Raw genomic sequence first — 23,725 nt, forward strand, 5'->3', positions numbered from 1 at the left:
TTTAAATATGTGATCAATCACAAACATGAACAAACTTTCAATGCTCCAGTGTTCTACTCTGAATGAGAAAAGTTGGAAAGATCATTTTCAGCTTTCAAAAATTTTTGCTTTAATTTTCTCTATTTGGAAATCTTTAAAAATTAGTCAGTTTAAAAGTCCTGGCTGCTTTTAGTCAGAAGGGCCTAAGAAGAGACAAGACTTTTCCCAGGGTATCCAAAGACAGATCCAGAGAATTTAAAGCCTGGACATATTACCTGGACTGAAGGCATTCGTTGCTTGCTTTACTGGTGAGGACTGGGAAGACCTGACTTCCACAGTCCTCTTTCCAAGTGGCAGGAAACAGGACATGCACTATGCCAAGCAGCTTCCAGCACCCATGCAGCACCCTTCCAGCACCTATGCAGCAGTATCCATGCTCTGAAGTGAAGCCTGAACTCGCCACCTCGCCACTGAGGGCTCCCCAGCAGGGCAGGGATGGGACCCTTCCTGGTATCACATGCTCGCTCGCCTCCTGAGTCCTGCATGAACAACAGACTGGATCCCTGTTTTTAGTCTGAGGACACTCATGAGATTTTTCCAAAAATTTTCTTCAGGAGCAGACACTATTGTGAATACCACATAAACAAGCTCTCCCTTTTCCAATTCCTCTTTTGAAAATGGTAGAGAATCAGCATATCTGGCTCTAACTTAACTTGTAAAAAAAATAATAGATTTTTTAAAAAGTTTCAGTTTATCACACTCAACCACAGTTATCTTCCAATGCTACAATGTACACATAAAAAATTAGTTTTCAAAGACTGCCACTTGTGCTTGTTAGGAAAAACTTGTATCTATCCATCCTTTCTATGAAAAAACTCTATAATGCTAAACTTCCAGAGTGACTCTGTACTAGATAGCTTCACAAAACTACAATCTTTGTGCTTACAAAGCTACTTCTACTAGGTAACAACAGAAGCACCGTCATGAACCCTAGTTTCTGAATAGGTACATAGGATTGACACATGCCAGGCTTTAGTTAGACTCTCACGGTGTTTGTCCCTTTACGTCACGGCACATCATACCCTGCAGCTGCCTTTGTGTGCTTATTTGCTGCCAGATTCCTCTGCTAGTGTGTAAGTGCCATGAAGGCAGGATTCATGCCTACGCTGTTCTTGTGTAAGAACTGCTAATGCCAGGGCCGGGTGTGGGGGCTCACACCTGTAATCCCAGCACTTTGGGAGGCCGAGGTGGGCGGATCACCTGAGGTCAGGAGTTTGAGACCAGCCTGGCCAACATCGTGAAACCCCATCTCTACTAAAAATACAAAAATTAGCTAGGTGTGGTGGCGGGCGTCTGTAATCCCAGCTACTCGGGAGGCTGAGGCAGGAGAATGGCTTGAACCCGGGAGGTGGAGGTTGCAGTGAGCCGAGATTGGGCTACTGTACTCCAGCCTGGGCAACAGAGCGAGATTCGGTCTCAAAATAAACAAAAACAAACAAACAAACAAACTGCTAATGCCAGAAAGAGAGGAAGGAGAAGGAAAGGAAGAAAAAAATAAGGTAGAAGGGAGAGGAAAGTGACAGAAACAACAGAGAAGAAAAGGGAAGGGAGGAGGGAAAGAAAAGAGGCAGAAACAGCCACTACACTGGTTTTAGTAAATAGGAGTGACTTTGCAGTTTCATTAGATTTTTCATTCATACAGTTAAAGGTTCCTTGTAGCCATGATCTCATCAAATCTCACAATAACCCTGAGTGACCTTTTAACATTAAACTAAAATGTTTACTTATGGCAGAGATTAGGAATGACTAGTTTCTAGATCTTCCACATTTTATCTGTACATCACTCATGACAGCAGGTAGTTCTGAGACGGACCTCTAAAGTGATCTGTGTGTTCATACAGGTCTGTGTTTCTGTAAGTCAACAGTTTAAGAATTGTGAAAGGCCAGGCGCAGCAGCTCATGCCTGTAAGCCTAGCACTTTGGGAGGCCAAGGCGGATGGATCACTTGAGGCCAGGAGTTCGACCAGCCTGACCAACATGGCGAAAGCTTGTCTCTACAAAAAATACAAAAATTAGCCGGGTGCGGTGACCCACGCCTGTGATCCTGGCTACTCGGAAGGCTGAGGCATGAGAATCACTTGAACCTGGGAGGTGGAGACTGCAGTGAGCCGAGATCGTGCCACTGTACTCCAGCCTGGGTGACAGAGTAAGACCCTGTCTCAAAAAAAAAAAAAAAAAAAAATTGTGATAAATGCCCAGCATTTCCTTCATTTTTATTCACTCAACATGTCTTATAACCACAAAGCCCAGATTTGAACCTTGTATATACTCATGGAAAGGAGAACCAGTTCTCAAGCAACTCTTCTCATTTTTACCAACCACATAAACATGTAGCTTCCGGTAAAACAATACTTCTCATTTTACAAGTTCATTAATCAATAATGAGCAGGCTCAGTGGGGGCACAGGACAACCTGAGCCTGACAGCGAGGAAGGCGGATTTTGTCACGGAGGGAGGGTTCTCATGAAACTCTGGATCTCCCAGCTAGTTGGGGGGCACTAACAAGGGCTGCCCAGAGAGCACGCAAGGTCTCTCCAATCATGCCACAAACCCCGCAATGTCAGGACAAAGGCACCGGTGTTGACAGAGACCTTGGAGTTCATCAGAGAGGTGACATCACCTGCCTAGGTCTCTACTTCCCTGCTCTTTTCCCCAGCAAAACCAACCACACTTTGCATTCCCCATCATTATTAATCCTCCAAACAAGCAACCCGTCCACATAGGAACAAGGAACCTGAGGTGAAGTGAGCCGAACTGGCTTACCCAAGCTCACACAGCGCAGGGCCGTCAGCATTGGGAGGCAGCCCTGGGTCCTATAGGCCTCATGCACGGCCTGCCTTGCTGTCGAGAAAGTCCCAGCCACCGACACAGGCTGCAGGAAACGGCACCAAAGTCACTTGCAGCAGCGCAGAGAAAGTGTGAACAAAGAACCTTTTTTTTTTTTTTTTTTGGGAGATGGAGTCTCACTCTGTTTCCCAGGCTGGAGTACAGTGGGGCACGATCTCAGCTCACTGCAACCTCCATCTCCCAGGTTTAAGTGATTCTCCTGCCTCAGCCTCCCAAGTAGCTGGGATTACAGGCGCCCACCACCACCATACCCAGCAAATTTTTGTATTTTTAGTAGATGGGGTTTTGCCATGTTGGCCAGGCTGGTCTCGAACTCCTGACCTCAGGCGATCTGCCCGACTTGGCCTCCCAAAGTGCTGGGATTATAGGCATGAGCCACCGCGCCTGGCCTTTTATTTCTAAGGGAAATAAAAGTCCCAGCAGAGCATTCTAGTTTTGAAGCATCTCACCTAGGAACACTAACAGACAGCAAATTTAACCTGCTGAGTGCAGCCCTCATTTGGTCCATTTTTCTTGCCACAACTGCCTACTGCCCTTCTGTCAAGGCAGAGGCAGACATAAACCACTACCATCTGTGGCTGCCCTGGGAACTGTGAGAACTCATGGAAATAATGCGTCCCCTTGTGACTTCACATCGTGCACCTCCTGTGACAACCCTCCCCTCTGACAATTACACTCACACCCAGTTCCCACGTGAACACGCTGAGTCCAGCCTTGGAGATGCAGCTTTTGTCTTGCTGAAACCTTCCAGTTAAATTTCTCCATCAATTTTTCAAATAGTATTATTAGCTGAGGGACTAAAATCTGCCTGGCGTTCTTCTGATGACAAAGGTAACCCATCCCTCCCTGTGCTCCCCATCCTCACGTTGTTTCTAATTCAGATTTTCTTCTCCCTTCTCCTGAATACCTGCATCTTCTTCCTGACTGACATGGCTTTAGGAAACACAGCACATTCACAAACATCTGAAGCCAACTGCAAGGCACCCGTCACTCAGCGAGAAAAGCAGAAAGGTGCCAATTCAGATGGCTGAGCTACTTCGCCTGGGTCCCGACCTGTATCACCACAGGGTCACAGAAATGGAACCTTCTCCGTCACACCTCCTGATGGCAGTCAGCTGTGACCCGCTGAATCCAGGACATCATGCATTCCAGTTTCATTTGCGAGAACATTTCCAGGTCCGGCTGAAGCCTAGTGGCTCCAGCAGAGGTCTCAACCCCTTTGGGATGCTCAGTGGGAGACAGAATCAAGGGCCAATGATCCATGACCTAGTCCTAGTGCCCATGTCAGTTTGTCAAAGGCCCTCAGAGCAGATTGTGTTTTCCCTGGCGGGGGCTTGACTTCTTTGCTTTAAAAAGGATTCTTAAGTATTTATTGCAGTAAAATTAACCACCTTCAAATTTCTGCCAGATCCCCTGGAGGTATATAGCTTATTAACACAAAACAAATGTGACACTTGAAAGGCAGGAGACTTGGTTTCTATTCTCTGGCCCACTACTGACTTATTGGGTGGCTTCAGGCAAATAAGTGAAATCAAGAAGACACCATCTTCAACAAGCACAGAGTGGGCACCTGGCAGGTGAGCAGTGCCCTGTGAGGTCTGGGGCTGGGTTCGGTGGTGAAACTAGGTCAGCACACACAGCCCTTTGCTGGGGGCCCACTGCCTGGGGTAGGATTTTTGTAGCTGGGTTCAAGGTGGACATGCTGAAATGTGACCCTAAAATGTTTGTACTCTTGAAGCTGAAGGAGTGGGAAGAAACCTGTCATTTAAAGAAGGACAGTATGGCCAGGTGTGGTGGCTCACACCTGTAATCTCAGCACTTTGGGAGGCCAAGGTGGGAGGATCACTTGAGTCCAGGAGTTTGAGACTAGCCTGGGTAACATAGGGAGACCACATCTCTACAAAACATTTAAAAATTAGCCAGGCATGGTGGGATGTGCCTGTAGTCCCAGCTACTCAGGAAGTTGAGGCAGGAGGATCACTTGAGCCCAGGAGGTCAAGGCTACAGTGAGCTATTGTCATGCTACTGCACCCCAGCCTGGGTGACAGAGTGAGACCCCGTCTCAAAAAAAAAAAAAAAAAAAAAAAAAAAAAAAAAAAAAAGAAGGAAAGGAAGGAAGGGAGGGAGGGAGGGGAGAAGGAAGGAAGGAGAAGGCAGGCAGGAAATCAATATGACAGCATAGCACTGGAGCTAAGAACACACCTTCTAGAAGCAGACTCTATGAATTCAAATCCTGGGTCTACCATTTATAAGCTGTACTTTCCTCTGTAAAATATGAATCTACAGTACCTACTTCTCACAGATTGTTATAAAGATGAGATGTGTTAATATAGATAAAGTAAGCACTCAGTGAATATGAGGCATTAACCAGAACCCAACAAGGTGCCATCATCAAATATAATAATTGAGTGCATAACTTTTTTCAGTTTACAAAGCAAATTTACATATAGCATTTCTTTTGGATCTCACAAAACTCCATGAGAGCTGGCAAAATACTTCCCCCCATTTTCTTTGAAGCTCATACTCTCCTTGTTTACTCCCTTACAAGTCACACTTGAACAAAGTGACCAGGCAGATTTGGGAAAAAGCAAACAAACAAAAAACACCAGATAGACCTTTAAGAAATTAAAAAACAAAAAACAAAAAACAAAAAACTGTTAACACAGAAATCTCAGTTGATGGGCTAAATGGCCCATCATTCTAAGAATAGTTGGGAAGACAATGCTTTAGATGCCATCTACACGCTGTTAGTTCCATCTCAGTCATCTCTCCTGAATAACAGCATCCACCTGCCTGCTCATTTCCAATGGATTTCTAATAGAGATCTCAGACTCAACATGTCTATAAAAAGAGCTCCTTGTTTCCCACCCCCCCTCAATAAATAAGATAGTGGATAAATTATGATATATTCACACACTAGAATATTCTGGCAATATGAAGGAACTGTAGCTATTCCTGAAAACATGGATGAATTTTGCAAATATATGGAGGAAAATCTCAAGTTCCAAAAAGACCATGCAAAGTCCGATACTATTTTTATATGTCTCAAAATACCTTTAGCAACACACATTTACTCATTACACTGTGATAAAAATATATGTTTGTTTAAAAATCAGGATAATTATAAATACAAATTTCGGAATAGTGGGAAAGCAGGAAAATGCTAGGAATAAGATACTTAGCGAGATCTCCAAGTATTTGTAATGAGCCAATTCTTAAGTTGGATGGTGGTTCACTGGAGCACCTTTAAAATTGTGCTTTAGAGTTTACTTGTATGTTACATACCATCTTTTGTATATATCAAATAATTATAAATTAAAAAGACAGAAATGCCATCCACAAAAATGAACTGTGCTGAAGTAATTCATATTTCAAAACAATAAGCTAAGCAATGAAGGAAAGTAACTCTTGCTAAAAATATGAGGAAGTTAATTTATGCTAATAAAGTTGGTTATGGAATATAATTACTTGAGCAAGGATGACTAAAATATGTCTATACTATGTGTATCAAATGCCAAGGGGGAAATGACCAGGGTATTTACAGATCAGAACAAATGTATTTATGAAGAATCTTTTTTTTTTTTTTTCTATTTTGCAGACTTTCTTTTTTAAAAGCAAAATAAATTGACATGACTTGTTCAGGGTTAACTGTTTGGCAGGTGGATGATCTGTGGCCATCCATGATGAGATCACCTCCCTGCCCCGCTGGCCCCCAGCCTCTAGAAGTCAGGGCTTCTGAGGCCCAGAAGCTCAGCGCCACACCTGTTGAAGGCCAGTGATGTCAGAGTTACTCTTCCTTCCTCCAGCAGCACTGACAGCAGTTTATTGTACGCAATTTCTAGAACTCAGATGTTCTAGAAGGAAGCAAACATATTCTGAGATCACAGACTATGACTATGCTCTCAGAATATGTTCTAGAACACCTAAGTTGCAATTCTTAAAATCAACACAGCGTAAGACTGCTTTAGGAGGAAGTGATCAAGCTCAAAGCAACCTAGGCATGATGTGCCTTGTTTGTTTATCTGTTTGAACAGGAATAAAACGAAAAGAGGCCTGTGTATTTCTCGTATTTTTATATAAGAGCTGGAGCTATTTGAACGGCTAAGGAGAAGAAGATAGTTTGATTTAGATTTGGCATGGGTTTAGGGGAAGAAACGTCTCTGTAGCTGGTCCTAAATATTATGGTAACTTGGACTGAATCAGTCTCCAAGGGAGAAGCTGCCACATGTTATAACAGAAGCCACTGGGCTTGGCAAGAAACAAATGAAAAAAAGTACAACGAAAGCAACCCCACTTCTCCATCGTGGCGGGGATGAGCTAGGCAGGACGACTGCATGTCTTCCTTTCCTATGCCTGACCAAATCCAGCACTGCCCTTTCAAATCAGTCTTCATCACATTCCAAAGAATACAAAATACGCAAGTTAATTTTAATTTCCAATGAATTCTTCAGGAGAAATTTTTCTTCCTCCTTCCTAAAAAAAAGAATAAAAAATGCAGAATAGAGATTCAAAATGAGGGGTGGCAGCAAAAATTCTGACTCGCAGAAGGTTGAGAGGGTGCCTTTTTCAAATGTATTTATTTTACAGTTCCAAGAAGGTAAGACTACCTTCTGTTTTGATTCATGCTTCACCATTCCCCACTTAAATTTTTAAAAATTACATCCTTGCCTATGTCTGTCTTGCTATTTGACTGGTCACTCCCAAACATAAACTGCCCTAGTTTGAAGCTTCCCAAAGCCAAGCAAAGGTGACAGACTAGTACAAAGAAGGCCGCTAGTGAGTTTTTACTGAGTGAATCTACATTGTTCCATGGCCTTGGTCTGGATATAGATTCTAAAGCTTCTTACACTGACACAAATGGAGTTTCTAGCTCTCCAGGTAATTTTCGGTGAAAGAAAATTATAGAAGAAGGCATAAACCTTGGCTCACAAAATAAATACGCACTCAGACCCATGTACTTCATGAAACATACAAGCCCAGAGCTAGACCATGCCATCTGTTTTATGAGGAAAAAAAATAAATTCACATGATTTACTTACTTTAGCTCTGCCAGAAATCATCAGCATCTACTTGCACAACTAAAGACAAGAAGACAAGGCAGATGGAGGCTAAACACCGAATACTGCCTAATTTTGATGTATATTTTTGGGTCAAACCTCTTATAATTTACTATTTCCAAGAGGGAAAATAAGCTTATATAATGGCACTGAATCATTGGCTTCCAGTTATGGGAAGCAAAGGAAATTAACCTCAAGGGGAAAAAAATGCTACAAATATAAATAATATAGTTTCTGTTTACGAAGCAGTTTTTCATGTACTGCCATTTCTTTCTTTTTTTAAAGAAGATATGTTTACAAAATAGGTGACCAACTAAGGTAGGTGTGTGTGAAGAGAGGCAGTGAGAGAGAGGGGATCCTGAAATTCTTTTCAGTAAAGGAAAAAGATAATTTTAGGGATGTTTTTAAAAATATATAACTTGATGAATTTTTTATAGCATGAGTATTATTTAGGTGCTGTCCTAGACCAGTGTGGCGTATAGGCTATAGAAGATTGGTCCTGAATGCTAATGGCAGGGATGAGTGTAAGATCATCAAAACTTATTTGTGGGAAGGAGAGCTACTGACAGAGCCATGTATTACATGACTCCAGTCTGGGCTGATAGGCCTGCCTTAAAGCATAGCTAGAGGGCAGGCACGGTGGCTCATGCCTGTAATCTCAGCACTTTGGGAGGTTGAGGCGGGCAGGTCACTTGAAGTCAGGAGTTTGAGACCAGCAACATGGTGAAACCCCATCTCTACTAAAAATACGAAGATTAGCCGGGTGTGGTAGCATGTGCCTGTAGTCCTAGCTACTCAGGAGGCTGAGGCAGGAGAATCGCTTGAACTGGGGAGGCAGAGGCTGCAGTGACCCAAGATTGTGCCACTTGCACTCCAGCCTGGGTGACAGAGTGAGACTCCATTTCAAAAAAAAAAAAAAAAAAAAAAAAGCATAGATAGACAAAATGTCCTGGAATCACTAAAATGGATAAATTATGATATCCATAAAGTGGATAAGTTATGATATATATTCACACACTAGATACACACATTATGATATATTCATATATATCGTGAAGGCTAAACCCACATGAGTCCATAACACACTCACAGGTCTGTGCCCTTTGGCCCTGGCCCTCTCGCCATTCGGAAGCGATCACAGAGAACACAATGAGTCTGTTATTCGCTCAATATACAGTCATGTGCAGCATAACATTTCAGTCAATGGTGCACCGCACCCATGATGGTGGGCCCGCAAGATTACATGGAGCTGAAAATTCCTATTGCCTAGTGACACTGTAGCCACTGTAACACACTGCAGGGCTTTACTTTTTCTATGTTTAGGTATGTTTAGATATATGAGCACTTACCATTGTGTTACAATGTATTCAGTACAGTCGTACTGTACGCCACACAGGTTTGTGGCCTAGGAGCAATAGGGCCATATCATATCGCCTAGGGATGTAGTAGGCTATACCATGTAGGTTTATGTATATACACTCTATGATGTTCACACGATGACAAAACTGCCTATCCCCATTGTTAAATGACACATGACTGTATGTGCATTAAGTACCTACTGTGTGTCAGGTAGTGTACTTGGCAGGTGCTGAAGTATGGTGGTGAATCAATGGAGAAAGTCCCTTATGGAGTTCATAGTCTATGGGGAAGAATGGTGAGCTCCAGTATAGATACCCAGTATATACAGAGAGAGGTCCAGTACAGACACCCAGTATAGACATAGCCAAGTGACCAAGAGCACTGGCTTGGAGTCATTCAGATGAGGTTTAATCCTTGGTTCTGCTACTTGCTTTGGAAATGTCACTCCCTAATCACTGCTTACTTTATATGTAAAATGGGATGGTAATGCCAGCCTTTCAGGGCTATTGAGAAGATTCCATGAGACAATGTTTATAAAGCACTTACAACAGCATCTAGCACCCAACAGACCTAATAAATGGGAGTTATGATGATTGTTCTCTCAAAGATCCAAGGGACACACACAAAGAGGTTTGCTATTTTCTCCCCCAGAACACACCCCAAAATGCTGAACCAGGAGCCAACTCATATCACCACTTTATCACGCTCCTGTATGACCCTGGGCAAATCAGATGCCCACCAGTGTCACTAGGCTAGACAGCAAAGTCTAGTTGCTAAAAATATACTCCAGCAGGTGGTCTACAGTGTTGCTGTAATGGGAATGTTTTCTGTTTTTCAAGGAGCTAAGAAGCATTATCGGATGGTCTCTTGAAAAATAACTTATAAGCATTTTCTCTTTCAATACAAGCCCTACCAAGAGCACACTACCATAATAAATATTCTGGACAATGGTTCCAAAGGGAGAGATGAAAAGCTGTGCTCGGGGCATTAAGCTGAGAAGCGGTGGAGTAGTCAATAGCACAACCTCTGCAGCCAGGCTGCCTGAGTCTTCAGTCCAGCTCTGTCACTCACTAGCTGTGTAGCAATGACCACATCGCTCACTGGACTCATTGCTTAAAATCTGTAAAATGGGATAGTATTATTCCCTATCTCATTAGGTAGTTGTAAGGATTAAAATCACTAACACCTGTAGGGCAACTAAAACAGCACCTGACATACAGAGAACATTCCATAAACATTACCAATAATTACGCATGGCAAACTCAATAACTTTATTACCTTGCTAATAAAAACATGAGGGCCAAATAGCAAGAAAGCGACTGAACTACACCAGAGGTTTGAAACTTGAGTTTTCTCCTTGGCTCTCCCATCAACTGTCTGCATGACTGTGGGTACATCACTTCCCTTCTATATTTCACTATTCTCATCTATACAAAAAGCAATATACGCACACACCAAGAACACCTAGAGAAGCCTGATGCAGCTTTCTGCTAATACCAACTGGAGCCAAACAACTTAAATTTATTTATCTTCCTATCTGCATTAGTCAGGGTTCTCCAGAGAAACAGAACCAAGAGGGAGAGAGGGAGAGGAAGAGGAAGAGGGAGAGGGCGATTGAGAGGGAGATTGAGATTGAGAGAGAGAGAGACTGAGATTGAGATTGAGAGAGAGAGTGGTGGGGGTGGGGGTAGATACTGATATTTACCTTAAGGAACTGGCTCATGCAATTACAGGGACTGACAAATCCACAATCTTCAGGGCATGCTGGTGACCAAGGGAAGAGTTGATGTTGCAGTCTTTTTTTTTTTTTTTTTGAGACAGAGTCTCACTCTGTCGCCCAGGCTAGAGTGCAGTTACATGATCTCAGCTCACTGCAACCTCTGCCTCCTGGGTTCAAGTGATTCTCATGCCGCAGCCTCCCAAGTAGCTGGGACTACAGGCGCCTGCCACCATGCCCAACTAATTTTTGTGTTTTTAAATAGAGACAGGTTTTTGCCATGTTGGCCAGGCTGGTCTTGAACTCCTGATCTCAAGCGATCCACCCATCTCAGCCTCCCAAAGTGCTGGGATTACAGGCGTGAGCCACCGTGCCAGGCCGATGTTGCAGTCTTGAGTCTGAAGGGAGACTGGAGACAGAGTTCCTTCTTCTTTAGGGACTTCAATCTTTTTCTCTTAAGGCCTTCAACTGATGATATATGAGGCCTACATACATTACAAAGGATAATCTGCTTCACTCCTTCTACTGATATAAATGTTAAACCTCATCTAAAAAACTACCTGCACAGCGACATCTAGACTGGTGCTTGACCAAGTATCTGGGTACTGTGGCCTCGCCAAGCTGATACATACAATTAGCCATTACACCATCCTTTCAGAAGGGGTGATGCCCACACCGAAGGAAAAAACCTCTAGACTCCACAGCCATTTAATCTTCTATTGGAGACCATAATCGAGGCAAGGAATTCAGATGAGGCTACTCTTTTCTTCACAGGTGAATTCCAAGCGTCTCACAGCTTCCAGGGCATTTCTTGTTCTGGTTCCTGCTCACCTGTCTTATCTCCTTGCTCTTCCCTCCATTCCAGCCACACGTGGTTTTTGGTTTAAAGACACTGTGTTCTTATCTTGCTCTGCCTGAGTACGCGCTACTTCCACGGCCTGGGGTATGCTGTTTTCCCACTTTTTAACTGGGTCCTCATCATTTGAGTCTCATGTTGAGAACCACAACTGCCTCTAGAGAGCTTCCCTGACCTGACAAGGTTAGGCCAGTAAGTTCCCACAGCCAATCTGCACACCTCCTGCCTTACACTCAAGCCACGCCATCAGGGCTCCCTCCCAGCCTGGCAGCTCCGTGAAGGACACACCTCTCTTGTTGGTCACAGCATTCATGCTGCCAAGCTGGTCCACGAAGACACAACAAATAGCTGCTGAATAAATAAATGAGGATGCAGATGGTTCTTAAGCCTTGACCTTCAATCCTCCCAATGTCCTTGAGATTCGGCTCCATGTCTCCAACCACTTGCTGGACACCTGAAGGCGGGAATCTCACCAGCACCTACACTGAATATGCACAGAGTGGACAGAGCTTGTCTTTGCTCTCACGTACGCTGTCTTCCAAGCCTAGTACAGTAGAAAGAACACAGGCTTGGGGGTCAGGGAGGCCTGTACTGAAGTCCCTGTTCTAGATCCTGTTACAACTGTACAATTTTAGACCAATTGCTAATTTTCTCTGACCCTTAGTTTTCTCGTCTCTGATATAAGGATGAAAATACCAACCCACAAGATTAGGAGGAGATTAAATGAGATAATAGCTATGCAATGCCTGGCAGATGGCATAGAAATAATGAATGGCACCTGGGTTCAAAGCTCTGGGGGCATTTTTGCTTCCCATCGGCCAACCCCTATTATCTAGGCAGTTCCTAAATCCCATCTCATAAATTCAATTTCTCCATCTAGTGGCCTTCCCCTCACCCAGGCCCTCCCCACCTCCCTCCTGGACCACAACAGCAGCTCTAAAAGGCTTCCCAGCTCTGGCTATTTCACAGTCCAGAGGCACCCACATGCTGATCCCCGCAAGGCCTCTTCAGGATGGGGACTCTAGCCACTCAAATTCTTCCATTGCTCCCCAGTAACTTAAGTTTAAATCATTTAGTCACGTGCCATTCAAGGCCCTCTGGGTTCTGGCCTCCAAGGACCTTTGCTACCTGATCTTCTCCTTAGTGGTTTACACACATCATTGCCCAGCAACTACAAATCGATTCCTGCCCACTCTGCACCCCGGCATTTCCCATCCCTACCTATGCCTTTGCTCATGTTTCCTTCAACGAGGATACTCCAAGACCTCAAGTCCAACATTACCTTTCTTTCAATGTCTGGCTCAAAGGCTCTTTATCCATGAAGCATTTCTTGATCATCCCAGCCACAGATAAACACACAACCTTTCTTTTCTATGAACTTGTGGTATGTTTATCTCTCTACCTTTTATACATTTCTCTTTCTCTCTGCATTTATTCTTTGTTTTTCTTTTTTCTAAGACATCTTGTTATAGCATCTCTGCATTTATTCTAATTTTATCTGTGCACAGAACCTTAGCTTCAAGCTCCTTGAAGGGTAGCATCGTGTCCCAGCCTACACTGTCACACTCAGGAGAAGCACCCAGTAGATGGTGGCTCTGTATCTACCTACAGAGTGCCACTGAGGAGCACAGGCCTTCAGGTCTGTAGCCCATCAGCTGAGCCTTCGCATCAGCTCCTAGAACAGTGCCTGGCATAGAGCAACACCCAGAAATCATTGTTAAATGAAATTATCCACAAGGGAGTCACCTAGTGTCTACATGATAGAAATTCTTTCCCTGTAGAATATAACATGAAAGGGGGTGTGAAGAAGCCTTCTCTCTCCCCATACTTCCAGATGCAAGAAAGCTTCACGTTAACTGTCTCCCACAAGCTATATAGCTACTCTCGGCAATAAACATGACATATAATACTTTGGTGCATTTGGCGTGTCAAAAATATTCAATTTTAACATGTCAGAAAGAATCATTTTTCAAAAACAGTCTCCTTTGGAGAAGAGAGTTATTCAAACAATATCCAAAACCTTTTTGGATCTCACATTTTGAAGAGGTCCAACTTCCGTTGGTTAAAAAAAAAAGTCTATTATATAATGAAAGCCTTACAACTGACTGAGAATTATAGAATTTCAGAAATAAATCCCAGTCTGTTCATCCTTAAAATAAGAAGCTATTTTTCAGGGCTTTCATGTCCAAAATTATATTATGTAAGCCACTTCATAAATCATGTACACAACAATTCTCATTTTTCCATTAAATCTCTATTTTGAAATTTAATTCACTCATCCATTTTTTCAGAGATGGGATCTTGTTCTGTCGCTCAGGCTAGAGTGCAGTGGTGTGATCATAGCTCACTATAGCCTTCAACTCCAGGGCTCAAGGGATCCTCCTGCCTCAGCCTCCCAAGTAGCTAGGACTATAGATGCATGCCACCATGTGTGGCTTATTTTTTTATTTTATTTTATTTTTTTGTAGAGATGGGGATCTATGTTGCCCAGGCTGGTCTTGAACTCCTGGCCTCAAGTGATCCTCCCACCTCAGCCTCCTAAAGTGCTGGGATCACAGGTATGAGCCACCGTGCCCTGTCTTTTTATTTTGACCCCCTCTTGGCTCTAACAGCACACGTGTACCTCTGTTACAGGACATCAGTCTACAGTGCTACCTCTTTTTATAGTCATTTATCTCACTAACCTGTGTCTTTCTGAAATGCCAGACCCATGTTCACTTTTGAATCTACAGTACCTTCTACTGAAATGTAGTAGCTGGCTCAGTCCATGTTTATAACATGAAACAATGACTTGAATCAGTGGTTTGATCACCTACCATATTCATGAGACCTAACTATTGGCTCCCTCCTACCCTCAAAGGACAGAGATTTCCCACCGCTGTGGATAGTCAAAAGAAGATAGAAAGTTCTTAAGTGCTTCATTTAATGTGTTTATTTAGTCCCCTTGAAATAAATACTGATGGGTAAAACCAAATTAAATCACATGCTAAAAAGGATAGCCAGTCAAGTACCTAGCTGAGTATCTAAAATTAGTACACACACACACCAAAAACAAAAACAAAAGCACGGAAAAAGCCAAAAAGCCCTGCCTATTCAGCCCTGTGTACCCTTCACTGACTAGGAAGTGACCCACTTTTCAGGTATCATCCAATCATACAAACTGGGCATCAGTGTCGTCAGAAGCCCACACATGTTCATCTCAAGACTCAACAACATAAACACGTCTATGTTTCCAAGAAAGCTCGTTGCAAGTTGGTGACAAATTTGGAAAAAAAAAAAAAAAAAAAAGCTCTAAATAAAATTACAGACATGACTTTCACATTTGAGCTCTCCAAATATATTGTTATGGGTTTAAGAAATACCACACTTCTGTGTCACAAAGAGAGTTCTAAAAACCAGTATGTTCTGAGAAGTCCATACCTGCTACTTGGGAACTAAACAAGGCTTGTAACAACTGAATCTCTTTAGAAGACTGTTAACACCTTGCTTAAGTGTGTAAAAATTGAAAATAAACATAACTGAAGATTTGAGAATTTTTCAGTTATAACACAGTTCTTATGAAAGATGGAAAATATTTCATATTCTCTTATATATTTATAAAAACAGCAGATATTTCTTCTATTTACAGAGGTGGAAACGAAGGCAAGCAAATGCAGTCATTTTGTTGGAGGACTATTCTACATTTCCAAAGCAATGAAGACATGACCCCAAACTAAACTCTCCTGCAACGTATTCTTACAAGAAAAAGGCTAAAAGCCTTATTGCTTAACAAAAGCTAAACAATGTGAATTATTTCAATAACTGGTCCAAAAAGCTGCAGCAGGCCACTGAGTAACTTGGACATCTGTTGCCATGCTTGTTCATGCTTTCCCCTGAGATGACATATATGTATCATCATTAATAGGTGTCCTTGATTTTGATAAGAACAATATTCCTGTACATCCCCACATCTCCTGTACATAGCCATGTGCTGCCATCTTCTGATTATGCCCAGTGGAGTGTAAACATTTTTTCATGAAAAAGCAAAATCAATAAAAGTAAAACTCCCCACTTTTCCTGCCAGTAGTGCCCTTGGTAACAAACAGGGCAGAGACACCAATACAGAGATTACAATACTCTCAGACATAATTCAAGCAGAACTTTAAATGGATCAGTGCATGTTATAAACTTTCTTTTTTTTGCAAGTGCCAAGCGTGCTTATGCTACTATTCATTCTGAGATAGACAGATCATCAATGACCTTCTGGGTCACTGACTAGGGAGAAAGCTGACTATAAAAAAGAGTGGGAGAAAAATAAAGTGGGGGTTGCTTCCTTCCACCCTAGACCCCCTACTGCCTTGAATGAAAGAAGACAGATGGCAGCCACCTTTCCCTTTAATTAGGAGGGGCAGCTTAGAAGGGACAGTCCTGCTCACTTGGCACTATCTTTAACAAGACTGTTTAGATGGCAATGCTCTGCTCATTCGCCCTTCTTTCAAACTGTTCTTAATTTTTCACTTACAAACTGAATTTCCGTAAATTTAATGGTGAAACAATTACAGCTCTGACTACAACGCTATACATAAATGACACACTTAAAGATGTTTGCTGAATTAAAAATTCACAGATATTCCTATAAAGAGGCTGGAATGTTTCAAATGAAATACAGCTACCTCCAGTCCTATCAGCACCACTTTGAGATAAAATATGAATTCCCAGGACACAGAAGCTCTAACTTAAATTCACAACATTCCATACTAGACATAGAAGTAACACCCCTGGTTTCTGCTTTCCAGTTCCACACTCCAGTCGTGCTCCCACCTTTTACCTTCAAGGTATTGCTGTTCAAGTTGACAAAAAAAAAAAAAAAAAAAAAAAAAAAAAATTCTACAGTAAAAATCAGTCCTAAATGTAGAAGGGAAGATCATTTAATAACAAATCACAAACCACTCTTCATCTCTATTTGCTCTGCATTTTCAGAAACCATAGAACTTTATATTACAAGTTAATCAATCCACATCACATCTCTGGAGAGAGGATCAGCATAAAAAAACAAACAAAATGGAAAACAGGAGCCATGTGTCAGAATTAGGCTAGTGTCACAGGATCTTCTATGGAGGTGACGAAGCCTCTTCATTATTTTCTAGAGGCAATTAAGCACATTTTCCATAAATCTACATGGCACAAAACTTTCTAACATGAAAGTAAAGTTTAGTTGCTGTTGACAGGGTTAGGTCTCTATACATTGTATCTCATTTTTATATTAAATTTGTTTTTATCAACATCATTAAATAATTGATATTCTCGCAGCTCTTTTCCATTTCCTGATGCGTTTTTAAATTGCAGCCTCTTGTCTGTGACACCTTCCCACCTAGTTTCTGCACAATTCCTGCACAAGGACCCTCTGCGTTAACATCGGTCCTGGGGAAACCCACTGTGCCTGCTTCCAAATGGAAATCAGGGCGGCGAACTGGGGCTGTTTTGCTAGAGGTGCTCCTGGTCATACCATGCAAAACGCCTTGTCTGTGTCATAGTCATTTACCTAATGGCAAAGTTCTTGGACCATTTAGAAACAAAACAAAACACTTTTTGTTTTCTCCTTGATAATAAATTTCAATCTCTTCCTATCTCTAAACAGCAAGCCGGCACACTAGATATGGGAAGAGGGAAAAGATAAAAGAAGCAATCAGCTATTGAATAAACTATATCCTACTTCCCAATGAAGGGGAAAAAACTTGGCATTTGCCGGATATTGAGTGTCTAATAACATTAGCAAGAAAAAACACGCAGGAGAGACTAACAAAGAAACAAACAGAACTTACTTTGTTTCCCAGCACAGTAAGCAGGTCGGCAATGAGATGACGGCGATTCCTTCCTCAAGGTCCCTGCTTTCACTTTAAAAGCTGTGTGAGTGCTTACATCCAGGTTTGCCGTGGAACTCCAAATGTCTGTGCTTCTAAAGATGCCCCAAGTTCCCAGTTCATGTCAGACACTGAAGACACACTTGTGAGGATCGGGAAGCCCCGCGGTAGCCCCAGTCGACCTCTGGGTGCCACGTGGCACCTCCACTGTTGTGACTACACACACAAGCCCGGGACACCCACTTGTTAGCTCAGGAACCAGGCGGCCAGCAGATATCTGCTCAGATGAACGTCCAGAGACTCAATCCTCTGGCATTCTCAGGTTCAAGGTTGGAAAACGCATTAAGACGAGAGCCACACAGTCAGCAGAATCTGCGCCATTAGCTTTCTCGTACTTAAACGTCTGTCTAAATAAGAGTCAAAGGCACAAAATGAGAAGGAATATCTTACTAGGGATTGTGACTTGCACTTGCCATATTTTGAAAGTACTGGTTCCTATCTTGCTCTCTCAAACTGCATTTAAGAAACCCTACATCAGAAGTTATTTTCATTTCTTCTGTGAAAAACAGAAAATCAATAAAAGACTGGAAAAACATATGAAATATAATTCTGCTTAAAAACATAACCATTATTTAATCTCAACGGGCCAATTTATTTTAATCCAAAGAGAAGAAGAAAAAAAACACATGTATAAATTTAAAGTTTGTTTTGAAAAATTACTTCATCCATGTACTGTCCAGCTCATAAAAACAAAACTTCTTCCAGCGAAACGGGACACTTTGACCTTGTTTACTGCAGTGTTTGGAAACCGCTGTCTCGTAACTCCTGACATCACCGGTGGTGCATTAGCACCTGGACTGCTGTTGGCTGCACATGCTGATACCCCAACTCTCTTGAATCACCCGTGGCTGAACAAATACTCACAGAACAGTAAGGATAGTGGCATTAGCATTAAACCCACAAAACTCACAAGACCTTTTAGAAGTGTCACATCTCTCTGTTCACTTATACAAGAAAACAAAAGCATTGTATATCTGATACTTTTTAAGTCCCGGCATCCAGACTGAGTACAGACAATTCTTTCTTCTGACCCTCTCCCTGCCCAAGAAACGGGATTCCTTTCTCACCAACCGCCATATTGGCAAGAATTTCTGCCACAGAGTTTTACTATTAATACTAGAAGTTCCAACCTACTTTCCACCAATAAAAAGTTCCCACAAATCTTCCTAGGGGAGAATTTATTTAAGTATATTTTAGAGTTTCAAAGAGCACTGCATTCTTAAGTTTCACAAAATCAAATTTATTTGTTTTCTTTTATGGAACATGCTTTTGGTGGTGTGCCTGCCTGTTGCATTTCTAAAGAAACAATTTTCTCCTGTAAGCCTGACACATTTCCCTTTCTGCATTCCCCAGTTCTTTTTCTAAATACACCAAAATCAAAGCAACGGATAGTTGCAACCACTGGAAGCAAGCCACAATTCAATTTGTGCAAATATCTCCCCAGATTCACTTCTTAAATAAAACTAAATCCTGGTCCTACAATGATAGTGGAATTTTACAGAGAAATTAAAAACCCAAGTTTAATGTGTCTGAAATCAACTGATAACCTTTTACTGAAACCACTTAAAAACATCACGTCCTTAAACTATAGTCACCAAAAAATATAGAACACAAAATACATATTTGAGCAATTATAGCCCTTGTTTGTCAAAGAGGAGTAAAAAGAAAAACATCCAGAGTTAATACAATTAATTAACTCTAGCTAAAGAACTACTAAAAAGACCCTCCAAATGCCATGCTGTTACTACGACAACTTCAAAATTGCTTGAGAAAATGTGCTGGATTGTCAGATTCGTGATAAAACAAGTGTCATCCTGCCTGCTAGGAATTACTTTCATTTATATCAGGCAGCAGAAAGGCTAAATGGCCACTTGCAATTCTGAAATATTAGGTTGTTACCTTTTGATAGATGCTGTACTCTTCATTCAGATCATGAGAAGAGTTAAAAAATAAATGAATCTCTCTCAATCATCGGAACCCTTTTGGTTTCATTCCTGCAACGATACCACTCCCACCGTCTATCTAGTTGGTACATTATTTTGTATAAGGAAAGCAGCAAAGTCTGATTCAATCTGAAAGGGAAGGGCCAAGAAAAACCCCTAACAGTATCTCGTTTCCAAATACAAATAGGTGAGCAGACACTCACTCTGATATTTAAGGGTTAATAATGACACAGAAAAAGAAAACGGCATTTTCTCCCTTAAAATTCCTGCTCCTAGGTATTCAGGCTGATTTACATTTTACGTAATCTGATGGCTCAATCAGGAAGTGAGAATTTTAAGTGCGTGAGTTATGGACGGGAGGAAGCATGTGACCCATACATAGCAAAGAAAATTATGCAGCAGATGAGCACGCTAAGAAAAATAAACTAAGCAGTTTAAAAATAGTGTTTTGAGGATATATCGACCCATGAATATACTATGGCTTTTGAGAACTAATAATTCATTTGGACGCCTTAAAAATAAATCCCCAGGACTGTTTTAAAAAATATTACAAGATCCAAGGAATCCACGGTGAGAAATTAAAGTTTAATTATCCAAGAAACTGTTTCCCTCAAGTGCATATCCATTCATGGTTTATGTTAAAGGCTATTTTTCATCATTATTTAAAGATCAGGCAATACGTAATATAATCAAACAAAACACAGATTGCAGTGATGTTTACTTAAGCTTTATTTATATATATAGTGCGTAGGTTCCTGGAGCACAAAGAAGAAAGTTGCTCAGATTTATCCAGACCTCACATAAGTTTATAGATTTCAAGTAGCCACTGTATTTTATTACAGAAAATACATTCTTCAAGAGGAAAATGTTAAGGCCATAGAAGCTTTCACCTTAGCTATCTAAGCTTGTATTAGGTCATCATTAAATAGTATCTGTATCATTCTTATGTGTTCCGTAAGTTATGCCACAAATACCAGACCAAGTACACTCAGTCTAGAAACAAAAAAGTGGGAAATAAAGGTTAAAACATTCTAATAGGTGTAATGGGCTGATAGATGACTTTATATTACAAAGCTACTTAAGACAATTCTACTTTTCTAGAATACAACGCATTAATATAAACATTTGAAATTCAGAAGATTTGGCCTGTGGATGCTTTGTTTCTCAATGCAATTCTTGTTAATATGTTAGTAAGTAATAATTTATTAATACCAATAATAAAAAATTAACATGGTTGAGAGCAGGTGTATCTCATAGCCTTTATCAATTTAATGCTTAATACCAAAATGCTATTCATATTTTTATTTCAGCCTATTAAAAAAATTTATACCACAGCTCTGGGCAAGTGGCAGGGTGGCGCCAGTGACAGGAATCAGTTCTGCGTATTTCTTGATTCCTAGCTCATCTTCCTTTAATTCTTAAACACAAGAGGTAGCTGGCGGAAAGAAGAGACTGTTAGGAAAGACAGAAACCTTTCAGAAAGGAAGCTTAAGGTAGATTAAGAAAAGTTAGGGAAGCTGAGAAGCATACAATCTTCCAGATGGAGTATTACATGACAACTGTCATCATCTTACTAAACTTGATATCATATTTGTTGACTGAATTAAGGAAAGATGAACTAGTTACCAAGAAATATACTCAGCAGATTGATTCATGGCAAACCTAGCTCAGCCACTTGCCTAGACTTCAGTTTATTTAGGATAAACCTCAGAGTATGTACTTCTCAACTCCTTCATTTTATAAATGAATCTTGGGTCCGGGCTCAGCTGTCAGTCAACTATCTGTATAGTAAATACAGCAAAGTCTCTTAACTTCTCTAATTTCCTGAAACATCATATTGTTACCTTTTGAGAGATGTTGTACTCTTTATTCAGGTCACAAAAAGAGTAATCAGTAAATGAATCTCTGAGTAATCAGGACCATTTTTATTTCATTCCTGCAACTATACTACTAATCAGAAAATTAGAGAAATTAACAGACTTTGCTATGTCACAGAGATAGGTGAGTGAACTGAAACCAGACCTAAGGTTTTGGACTTTCCCAGGCTAGGACTCTTTTTCACTATGTGCTGCCTTACAACTGTCACCTGAGGTTCGAGTAACTCTCCAACTAGCCAAGCCCTGGCTACTTATCCTAATCATGGAAAAGTCAAACAGTCAGGATCCAGAGACCCTCGCTCTGTGCCACCTTCTTCTTAACTCACAGGCCCACTGACCCTCACTGCTGCTGTGGGCTGCTCCCACCAGCCCGTGCTGAGCCTCCTACCTCATCTGCGAGGAGACAGGGCAAGTTCCAGCCTGAGGGGCATGGCTTCTGAGATGGTTCCAGTCCCTCTTCCTGGCTCGTTCCTTCCACTGGTACTCACAGCTTCCTCATTTTTCCTAATGGGAAAATCAAAGCACTAAAATAAGAAAAATCACTTGTTTTGGTTCATGTCACAGCTATACTGGGATTCTGAATAAACACAAGAACCAGATAATATTCTAGAAAAAGTAAAATTAACTCCTACTTCATAAGATTCACCAGAATTAATTCTGTGGAGATTAAAGAGCTAAATATAAAAGGAAAAAAAAAAGGAAGAAAACTAAATTAGTAGAAAATTATTTCTGAATTTGGAATGGGAAAAGAAGATTTAGCTTTATAGAAGCAATGAAAAAAGTAACAAAAGGCAATGTAATCCAACTGCAACAAAATTTAAAACCCCTATATGTCAAAAAACAGCAAACAGAATTGAAAGGTAAGCAAAAAAAGGCCAGGTGTGTTGGCTCACACCTGTAATCCCACCACTCTGGGAGGCTGAGGCAGGAGGATTGCTCAAGGCTTGGAGACCAGCCTGGGCAATGTAGTGAGATCCTGTTCCTACAAAAAAATTTAAAAACTAGCAAGACATGGTGGCACATATGTGTGGTCCTAGCAGAGGCCAGGGTTGGAGGATCACTTGAGCCCAGGAGTTCCAGGCTGCAGTGAGCTATGGTTGCATCATTGCATTCCAGCCCGGGTGACAGAGGGAGGCCTTGTCTCTAAATAAATAAAAAGGTAAGCAAAAAATAAAATAGCTGTAACAGGATAATATTCTGTATAGTATTTGAATGTAAAAGGTAAAATGTAATAACAGACAATTCACACAAAAATATAAAAGGCCAATTAATATGAAAAAAAATGCTCGATTTCATGAGCAAACACCGAAATTCATTTCACCGATCACAAAGATGGACAACAAAAAAAGGAAAGCTCATGAAGTGAGGTGAGACAACCATTTGAGGAAATTAGCAATATATGTATTTTTTCAGCCTTAAAACTGTTTTGACTCCTAAGATGTTTATAAATATCTCCTAAGGAAATAATCGTAGATACATAGGAAGATAACTATGGCAAGGACATACTTAGCAAAAGCATAAAATCGGGAACAACTTAAACATCCAAAGATGGAATGGAGCATGTGACTAAACAGATCACAGTAAAAATTCGTACGCTTAAATCATGATTTTTGAAGAATGCTTCATGATACTGGAAATGACAAAATATAATATTGGGTGCAAATGCTGAATATAAAATCATACATAAACATGATACTAATGTTGCCAGGTAAGAAAGAAAGTGAAGAAGAAGGGAGGGACAAGCTGGTCTCCAGACTGGATTAGGATACATTAAAAAAGCTTAAAAAGGGCAGACGGAGACATTAGATTTTTTATTACTTCTTTATAATCTTGAGATGGTTGGCATTTTCTGTAATATATTGTTTTTATAACTGGAAAAATTCTATTTATGCTAATTACCACCCTCTAAATATTTCTCAGCTTTATAAAATCATGAAAATATTTGCAAATACTTTTGAACAAGAAATTTTTTTTTTTTTTGAGATGGGGTCTTCAGGGGGAGTGCAATGGTACAATCATAGCTCACTGTAACCTCGAACTCCTGGGCTCAGACTATCCTCCCATCTCAATCTCCCAGCTACTCAGGTATGAACTACCACACCCAGCCAGAAATTCTTATATTTATTATTAA

General features: G+C 41.1%; 1 long non-coding RNA gene across 10 annotated transcripts in view; it reads right to left on the reverse strand.

Moving 5' to 3' along the window:
- LINC-PINT (long intergenic non-protein coding RNA, p53 induced transcript) overlaps nt 1-23,725 on the reverse strand; it is a 232,364-nt gene that overhangs the window by 46,176 nt on the left and 162,463 nt on the right. For 4 of the 10 annotated variants that reach the window (NR_015431.2, NR_109852.1, NR_109851.1 and 1 more), the window contains one exon: nt 20,423-22,098. This is a non-coding gene — a long non-coding RNA (long intergenic non-protein coding RNA, p53 induced transcript). Of the gene's footprint in view, nt 1-18,022; nt 18,122-20,422; nt 22,099-23,725 lie in introns of those variants that run through there. The other 6 variants (NR_109853.1, NR_024153.2, NR_170176.1 and 3 more) reach the window with 4 other exon arrangements.

Source organism: Homo sapiens, chromosome 7 (genome assembly GCF_000001405.40).
Source record: "Homo sapiens chromosome 7, GRCh38.p14 Primary Assembly".
NCBI lineage: Eukaryota > Metazoa > Chordata > Mammalia > Primates > Hominidae > Homo > Homo sapiens.